A 10,499-nucleotide genomic window follows, 5' to 3' on the forward strand; every position below is an offset into this window, starting at 1 on the left:
ACACACTTAGGATGCAATAATAGCCAAGACAAACCCTGCCCTCACCAAGCTTAAGGGCTAAAATTTGGGAGACATACAATTAAAACAATTGCAATAATGTGTGATACATTTTGCAAGAGATTAACCTCTCAAGTGGCTGTGACAGTATGGTGGAGGGACATTTATTCTGGATTTAGGAAAGGGTGTGAACTTAGGAAAAATTCACAGAGGTGATAAAATTACAGCTAAAACCAGAAGGATGAGTTAGCCTAGTATTGTGCAGGCTGTGAACATGGCATATATTGGAAACTGAACCAATTTCATTACAGTTGGAGTATTAACTCAAAAGAGAGAGATCTGGTTTAAAAAAAATAAGGGTGGATAAGTCGACAAACACCAGGTCATGAAAGGTTTTCTAAGACGCGTTAAGAAATTCAGACATTTTTCTTAGGCAATGGGAAGCCACTAAAGGCTTTTGAGGAGGGAAGTGACATGATCAGATTTATAGTTTAAAAAGACACTATAGCTGCTACATACAGAGCAGGTTGGAGGAGAGGGCAAGAGTGGAAGCAGGAAGACCAATTAGGAGGTCATTGCAGTTGCCCAACAGAGGAATGATGGTAGCCTGGAGGAGAGTGGTAGTCCACAGTGCAGTGGTGGAAATGTAGAAGAGTGGAGATATTCAAGTGATATTTAGGAGATAAGATGAACAGGACCTGGCAATTGACTGAATGTGGAAGAGGTGAAAAAGGAAGGTGTCAAGGATGAGTCCTTGATTTAGGACATAAGCAACTGGGTGATTCGTGATGACATTCACTGAGATAAAGAGCACTGGAGAAGGAGCAAACAAGGGTAGCTGGAGGAAGAGAAAAAAGATGAGTTTAGTTTTGGAATTCTTTTTTTCTAGAAGTTGTACAATTTTATTTTTATATTTGTCTCTGTGATCCATTTTTTTTAATTATAAGTTCTGGGATACATGTGCAGAAGGTGCAGGTTTGTTACATAGCTATACACGTGCCATGGTGGTTTGTTGCACCCATCAACCCATCATCTACATTAGGTATTTCTCCTAATGCTATCCCTCCTCTAGTCCCCCACCCCCAATAGGCCCCGGTGTGTGATGTTCCCCTCTCTGTGTGCATGTGTTCTCATTGTTCAAGACCCACTTATGAGTGAGAACATGCAGTGTTTGGTTTTCTGTTCCTGTGTTAGTTTGCTGAGAAGGATGGTTTCCAGCTTCATCCACGTCCCTGCAAAGGACATGAACTCATCGTTTTTTATGGCTGCATAGTTTTCCATGGTATATATGGGCCACATTTTCTTTATCCAGTCTATCCTTGATGGGCATTTGGGTTGGTTCCAAGTCTTTGCTATTGTGAACAGTGCTGCAATAAACACATGTGTGCGTGTGTCTTTATAGTAGAATGATTTGTAATCCTTTGGGTACGTACCCAGTAATGGGATTGCTGGGTTCAATGGTATTTCTGGTTCTACATCCTTGAGGAATTGCCACACTGTCTTCCACACTGGATGAACTAATTTACACTCCCACCAACAGTGTAAAAGCATTCCTATTTCTCCGCATCCTCTCCAGCATCTGTTGTTTCCTGACTTTTTAATGACTGCCATTCTAACTGGAGTGAGTGGGTATCTCATTGTGGTTTTGATTTGCATTCTCTAGTGACCAGTGATGATGAGCTTTTTTACATATGTTAGTTGGCTGCATAAATGTCTTCTTTTTTTTATCTCTTAAAATTTTTTTTCTTTTTTTTTATTATTATTATACTTTAAGTTTTAGGGTACATGTGCACAATGTGCAGGTTAGTTACATATGTATACATGTGCCATGCTGGTGCCCTGCACCCACTAACTCGTCATCTAGCATTAGGTATATCTCCCAATGCTATCCCTCCCCCCTCCCCCCACCCCACAACAGTCCCCAGAGTGTGATGTTCCCCTTCCTGTGTCCATGTGTTCTCATTGTTCACTTCCCACCTATGAGTGAGAATATGTGGTGTTTGGTTTTTTGTCCTGGCGATAGTTTACTGAGAATGATGATTTCCAGTTTCATCCATGTCCCTACAAAGGACATGAACTCATCATTTTTTATGGCTGCATAGTATTCCATGGTGTATATGTGCCATATTTTCGTAATCCAGCCTATCATTGTTGGACATTTGGGTTGGTTCCAAGTCTTTGCTATTGTGAGTAGTGCCACAATAAACATACGTGTGCATGTGTCTTTATAGCAGCATGATTTATAGTCCTTCGGGTATATACCCAGTAATGGGATGGCTGGGTCAAATGGTATTTCTAGTTCTAGATCCCTGAGGAATCGCCACACTGACTTCCACAATGGTTGAACTAGTTTACAGTCCCACCAACAGTGTAAAAGTGTTCCTATTTCTCCACATCCTCTCCAGCACCTGTTGTTTCCTGACTTTTTAATGATTGCCATTCTAACTGGTGTGAGATGGTATCTCATTGTGGTTTTGATTTGCATTTCTCTGACGGCCAGTGATGGTGAGCATTTTTTCATGTGTTTTTTGTCTGCATAAATGTCTTCTTTTGAGAAATGTCTTCTTTTGAGAAGTGGCTGTTCATATCCTTTGCCCACTTTTTGATGGGGATTTTTTAAAATTTTACTTCAAGTTCCGAGATACAAGTGCAGAATATGCAGGTTATTACATAGGTATACATGTGCCATGGTGGTTTGCTGCACCTATCAACCTGTCACCTAGGTTTTAAGCCCCACATGCATTGGCTATTTGTCCTGATGCTTTCCCTCCCCTTGCCCCACCCCCGACAGGCCTCACTGTGTGTTGCTCCCCCACTGTGTCCATGTGTTCTCATTGTTTGACTCCCACTTTGGAGTGAGAACATGTGGTGTTTGGTTTCCCGTTCCTGTGTTAGTTTGCTGAGGATAATAGCTTCTAGCTTCATCCATGTCCCTGCAAACGACGTGACCTCATTCCTTTTTATGGCTGAAAAGTATTCCATGGTGTATATGTACCAAATTTTCTTTATAGTTTTAGAAATTTTGAGTATGCAGTACATGCGATATATGCAGATGGGAATGCCTAGTCAATAATAGAGTCAGTAACAGGGCCGGAAATGTAACTTGAGAGTTATCATGATATAGAAATTATACTGTACTTGAAGCCATCAAATGAGATTGCAAAGGCAGAGAATGTAGGATAACAAGTAAAAAGGTGTGAGGCTCAAGTCCTGAGAAATCCAGCATTTAAAGTTTAGGTGTAAGAGAATGAATACCCAAATGAGACTGAGAGGAAGAGGCCAGAGAAGTAAAAGGAAAACCTGGAGAGCTGTATCACAAAAAACATGTTAAGGGAGTGTGTTGGGCAATGGGGAGTAGTCAACAATGCAGTATGCTGCTGAGAAGCCAAGCAAGATGGGGACTAAGTGCTTCCTGGATTTAATGACATTAAGATAATTTTCTATTCCTGGGTCTCAGTCTTCTCACTCTTAAAATGTAGTGATTGCTCTGAACTTGATTTCACTCAAATGCAATCAAAGTACTTTCACTTGGCCAGGCGCTGTGGCTCATGCCTGTAATCCCAGCACTTTGGGAGGCCGAGGCACACGGATCACTTGAGGTCAGGAGTTCAAGACCAGCCTTGGCCAACATGGTGAAACCCCATCTCTACTAAAAATACAAAAATTAGCCTGGCATGGTGGTGCATGCTTGTAGTCCCAACTACTTGGGAGGCTGAGGCAGGAGAATCATTTGAACCTGGGAGGCAGAGGTTGTAGTGAGCTGAGATTGCACCACTGCACTGCCTGGGTGACAGAGTGAGACTCCGTCTCAAAAAAATAAATAAATAAATAAGCAAGAAATACACAAAAAACAAATTACTTTTGTCTGTTTTACATATTGAGCTTCTTAACATATGATTCCATCTGATGAAAGAATTCCATAGATTTTTTTTAAATCTAATGAAAACTATAGGATACTGGACTAGATATTCCAGTTCCAGCTGGAATGTTAGCAATGCCCTTCCAGCTCTAATATTCTGGATTCTATCCATTCAAGACATACCCCAATCTAAACTTACCTTACTTTAATAATATCTCCAAATGGCTCCTAGTATGGAACTTCAACCCTATCAGTCCAGCCTCCTTATAACTGCCAACCTCATGTTAGTTTCTGTGCCTCTCTTTTACTTCTATGTCCATCAAAATCCTTCCAAATAAATCATGAGACCTCATCCTCTCTCAAAGGCTTTTCTTGATGCCAATTCACACTGACTGTATGTTCCCCTGTCCTTGTTTTAGCAATTATTCTGTACTACCTCTAACTTAATAGTGCTCTGTTTGAGGTACATTAGTCTTATCACCCCAGTGAGATTGTAAACTCCCCTGGAGCACTGACCATGTATTTGCTTGCCTATCCCTCATCCTTGACACAGGCTACATGCTCAGCAAGTACCTAATAAATACCATTTGGCATGCAGCCTGTCTTTTTATCTGTTAAGGCAGCAAGACCAAGCTCTACACTGTTATTTGTGGTATGCTTATTGCAAAGAATTTTTATCACTTTCTATGGTATTTGCCATGGTTAGTGGGGTAAGACAAGGAAATGTCAATATTTTAATTGCAGTAAAGCACAAAAAAAAAACAAGCAAATGCCACAGGAAAGAAAGCAACATTAGGCACTATGCTCAGGAATCTGAGACCTTTGTTACAAACCGTCAAACCCCAGCATGAGCCTAGCCTTGAAAATGAACATTTCACACCGAGAGGCACTCACTTTTAAAGAAAGTCATGTTTGAGGTCATAGCTAGTGGACTGTATTGCTTTAATAGGGACTATATAAAAATCATACATTTTCTAAACAAGGGCTGTGGGAATGACTTTGCCTTGACTTGTGGTGCATTTACCCTGAAAGGAAAACAAGTCAACATGGTTGAGGCTTTCATCAAGCTATAAAAGTTGATGGGGCCAATTATCTCCCTTCTGAAACTCAGCCAATATAAAGAGAAGAAAAGAAATGGTTTGGAAATGGAGATAAGGCGATGATAGAGGAATGAGTGGCATCCAGGCAGTCTCTGACTTTCACAGCAGCTCACAAAGAAGAGGACGCCTTTCTGGGAGAACAAAATTCAACTGATGCCAGTCAGCTTTTATGAAGCATTTTGTGTTTTGATAAGCCTTTGTGTTGAGCCTTGTTGGGGATGAAATTAAAACACAGGTTTCATTAATTTTTTGAAGGGTTTTTTGTGTCTCTATTTCCTTCAGTTCTGCTCTGATTTTAGTTATTTCTTGCCTTCTGCTAGCTTTTGAATGTGTTTGCTCTTGCTTTTCTAGTTCTTTTAATTGTGATCTTAGGGTGTCAATTTTGGATCTTTCCTGCTTTCTCTTGTGGGCATTTAGTGCTATAAATTTCCCTCTACACACTGCTTTGAATGCGTCCCAGAGATTCTGGTATGTAGTGTCTTTGTTCTCATTGGTTTCAAAGAACATCTTTATTTCTGCCTTCATTTCATTATGTACCCAGTAGTCAAAAATTAATGAATCCAGAAGCTGGTTTTTTGAAAGGACCAACAAAATTGATAGACTGCTAGCAAGATTAAAAAGAAAAAAAGAGAGAAGAATCAAATAGACGCAATAAAAAATGATAAAGGGGATATCACCACCTATCCCACAGAAAGACAAACTACCATCAGAGAATACTACAAACACCTCTACGCAAATAAACTAGAAAATCTAGAAGAAATGGATAAATTCCTCCACACATACACTCTCCCAAGACTAAACCAGGAAGAAGTTGAATCTCTGAATAGACCAATAACAGGAGCTGAAGTTGTGGCACTAATCAATAGCTTACCAATGAAAAAGAGTCCAGGACCAGATGGATTCACAGCCGAATTCTACCAGAGGTACAAGGAGGAACTGGTACCATTCCTTCTGAAACTATTCCAATCAATAGAAAAAGAGGGAATCCTCCCCAACTCATTTTATGAGGCCAGCATCATCCTGATACCAAAGCTGGGCAGAGACACAACCAAAAAAGAGAATTTTAGACCAATATCCTTGAACATTGATGCCAAAATCCTCAATAAAATACTGGCAAACCGAATCCAGCAGCACATCAAAAAGCTTATCCACCATGATCAAGTGGGCTTCATCCCTGGGATGCAAGGCTGGTTCAATATATGCAAATCAATAAATGTAATCCAGCATATAAACAGAACCAAAGACAAAAACCACACGATTACCTCAATAGATGCAGAAAAGGCCTTTGACAAAATTCAACAACCTTCATGATAAAAACTCTCAAGAAATTAGGTATTGATGGGATGTATCTGAAAATAATAAAAGCTATCTATGACAAACCCACAGCCAAGATCATACTGAATGGGCAAAAACTGGAAGCATTCCCTTTGAAAACTGGCACAAGACAGGGATGCCCTCTCTCACCACTCCTTTCAACATAGTGTTGGAAGTTCTGGCCAGGGCAATTAGGCAGGAGAAGGAAATAAAGGGTATTCAACTAGGATAAGAGGAAGTCAAATTGTCCCTGTTTGCAGATGACATGATTGTATATCTAGAAAACCCCATTGTCTCAGCCCAAAATCTCCTTAAGCTGATAAGCAACTTCAGCAAAGTCTCAGGATACAAAATCAATGTACAAAAATCACAAGCATTCTTATACACCAACAACAGACAAACAGAGAGCCAAATCATGAGTGAACTCCCATTCACAATTGCTTCAAAGAGAATAAAATACCTAGGAATCCAACTTACAAGGGATGTGAAGGACCTCTTCAAGGAGAACTACAAACCACTGCTCAATGAAATAAAAGAGGACACAAACAAATGGAAGAACATTCCATGCTCATGGGTAGGAAGAATCAATGTCATGAAAATGGCCATACTGCCAAAGGTAATTTACAGATTCAATGCCATCCCCATCAAGCTACCAATGACTTTCTTCACAGAATTGGAAAAAACTACTTTAAAGTTCATATGGAACCAAAAAAGAGCCCGCATCACCAAGTCAATCCTAAGCCAAAAGAACAAAGCTGGAGGCATCACACTACCTGACTTCAAACTATACTACAAGGTTACAGTAACCAAAAGAGCATGGTACTGGTACCAAAACAGAGATATAGATCAATGGAACAGAACAGAGCCCTCAGAAATAATGCCACATATCTACAACTCTCTGATCTTTGACAAACCTGAGAAAAACAAGCAATGGGGAAAGGATTCCCTATTTAATAAATGGTGCTGGGAAAACTGGCTAGCCATATGTAGAAAGCTGAAACTGGATCCCTTCCTTACACCTTATACAAAAATCAATTCAAGATGGATTAAAGACTTAAACGTTAGACCTAAAACCATAAAAACCCTAGAAGAAAACCTAGGCATTACCATTCAGGACATAGGCATGGGCAAGGACTTCATGTCTAAAACACCAAAAGCAATGGCAACAAAAGCCAAAATTGACAAATGGGATCTAATTCAACTAAAGAGCTTCTGCACAGCAAAAGAAACTACCATCAGAGTGAACAGGCAACTTACAAAATGGGAGAAAATTTTCGCAACCTACTCATCTGACAAAGGGCTAATATCAAGAATCTACAATGAACTCAAACAAATTTACAAGAAAAAACCAAACAACCCCATCAAAAAGTGGGTGAAGGACATGAACAGACACTTCTCAAAAGAAGACATTTATGCAGCCAAAAAACACATGAAAAAATGCTCACCATCACTGGCCATCAGAGAAATGCAAATCAAAACCACAGTGAGATACCATCTCACACCAGTTAGAATGGCAATCGTTAAAAAGTCAGGAAACAACAGGTGCTGAAGAGGATGTGGAGAAATAGGAACACTTTTACACTGTTGGTGGGACTGTGAACTAGTTCAACCATTGTGGAAGTCAGTGTGGCGATTCCTCAGGGATCCAGAACTAGAAATACCATTTGACCCAGCCATCCCATTACTGGGTATATACCCGAAGGACTATAAATCATGCTGCTATAAAGACACATGCACACATATGTTTATTGCGGCATTATTCACGATAGCAAAGACTTGGAACCAACCCAAATGTCCAACAATGATAGACTGGATTAAGAAAATGTGGCACATAGACACCATGGAATACTATGCAGCCATAAAAAATGATGAGTTCATGTCCTTTGTAGGGACGTGGATGAAATTGGGAATCATCATTCTCAGTAAACTATCGCAAGAACAAAAAACCAAACACCACATATTCTCACTCATAGGTGGGAAGTGAACAATGAGAACACATGGACACAGGAAGGGGAACATCACACTCTGGGGACTGTTGTGGGGTGGGGGGATGGGGGAGGGATAGCATCGGGAGATATACCTAATGCTAGATGATGAGTTAGTGGGTGCAGCGCACCAGCATGGCACATGTATACATATGTAACTAACCTGCACATTGTGCACATGTACCCTAAAACTTAAAGTATAATAATAATAAATTTAAAAAAAAAGAAATTCGTCATTCGAAACATAGTGGAGGCCACAGCAGTCAGGGACATTTCTGAAGCGAGAGTCTTTGATGCCTACGTGCTTCCCAAGCTTTATGTGAAGCTACATTACTGTGTGAGTTGTACAATTCACAGCAAAGTAGTCAGGAATCGATCTCGTGAAGCCCACAAGGACTGAACACCCCCACCCCTATTTAGACCTGCGGGTGCTGCTCCACTTCCCCCACCAAAGCCCTTGTAAGGAGCTAAGTTCTTAAAGACTGGAGACAGACTATTCTCTGGAGAAAAATAAAATGGAAATTCTACTTAAAAAAAAAAAAAAAAAAAAACACAGGTTTCCTGGTCCTTGCTCTAGAGAAACACAGTGTAATTGGTGAAACCAAGACAAAGATATATAAAATAACAAAAGGACATTTACAAAGTGATATGAACTGAAACAAAATATAAATTAGCTTCAAGTATTCAGGAAATGGGAAGTCAAGGAATCACAATATGTTGTGTATGTGTATTCACATGTTTAGTGTGACCACTTGTGTCTGTTGGGGCGACAGTGGTGTAGTCATCTGGGAAACAGAGCTTTACCCTAAGGAAGCATATGAGCTAGACTGTTGGAGGAAATGGGGCATTCTCTTTAACATTATGAGGAATAGGTGCAGAGGAAAAAATCAAGGTATGTGATGAAAAGGAAATAAATCATGCTATTAGGCTAGTGGGCCTTTGTGAGCCAGGCTAGGGTTTGGGAGTTGGACAATGAGCATTCAAAGATTGTCGGTGGGAAAGAAGTTGGATAGATCAGTTGAGACTAGTTGAGGAAGAGCTTCAAAGCCCCCAGAGAACATTATACTTATGGTGAAAGAATGAAAACTTTCTCTCACAGGTCAGGAACAGACAAGCATGCCCACTTTCACTTCTATTCAACATTGTACTCTGGTTTCTACCTCAAGCAATCAGGCAAGAAAAAGAAATAAAAGGCAACCAGACTGGAGAGAAGGAAGTAAAGCTGTTTCTATTCACATAAAAAATGATCATGTATATAGAAAATTGTAAGGAATTCACTAAAAACCTATTAGCACTAATAAATCAAGGTTGTAGGATACAAGTTAAATTTACAAAAATCAATTGTATTTCTATACACTTGCAATGAACAATCCAAAAACGAAATTAAGAAAACTATTTCATGTATAATAGCATCAAAAAGAATACTTAGGAACAAAGTTTAAAAGAAGTGCAAAACTTTACTCTAAACACTACAAAGAAAGCATTGTTGAAAGAAATTAAATATCTAAATAAATGCAAAAACATTCTGTGTTCATGGAGTAGAAGACTTGATATTGTTAAGATGGCATACTGCCCAAATTGATGTATAGATTCAACATAATCTCTCTCCAAATCCCAGCTGAATTCCTTGTACAAATTGACAAGCTAATTCTAAAATTTATATGAAATTGCAAGGCTCCCAGAATAACCAAAACAATCTTGACAAAGAAGAGCAAAGCAGGAAGACAGGAAGACTCATGTTTTCTGATTTCAAAACTTACTGAAAAGCAATGATAGGACAATATCAGTATTGGCATAGGACAGACACCTATATCAATGGAATAGAATTATGAGTCCAGAAGTAAAACCATACATCTAGGACTAGCTGATTTTCTACAAGGATGCCAAGACCATTGAATGGAGAAAAATGTTCTTTTCAATAAATGGTGCAGAGACAACCGGATAACCACATGCAAAAGAATAAAGTTGGACCCAAGCCTCACATCCTACACAAAACTTAACTCAAAATGGATCAAAGACATAAATGTAAGAGCCGAATTGTAATATTCTTAGAAGGAAACATAGAGATAAATCTTCATGAACTTGGATTTGGCAAAGGGTTCTTAGATATGACATGAAAAGCATGAGCAAAAAAAGAAAAAATAGATAATTAGTACTTCATCAAATTTTAAAACTTTTATGCTTCAAAGGACATGAAGATAAAAGTGAAAAGAGAACCAACAGAATGGGAAAAAATATTTGCCA

At 39.3% G+C, this 10,499-nt stretch overlaps 1 pseudogene; it reads left to right on the top strand.

The window, feature by feature from the left end:
- On the top strand, positions 8,479-8,787 carry RPS26P56 (ribosomal protein S26 pseudogene 56; annotated as a pseudogene).

Source organism: Homo sapiens, chromosome X (genome assembly GCF_000001405.40).
Source record: "Homo sapiens chromosome X, GRCh38.p14 Primary Assembly".
NCBI classification, from domain to species: domain Eukaryota; kingdom Metazoa; phylum Chordata; class Mammalia; order Primates; family Hominidae; genus Homo; species Homo sapiens.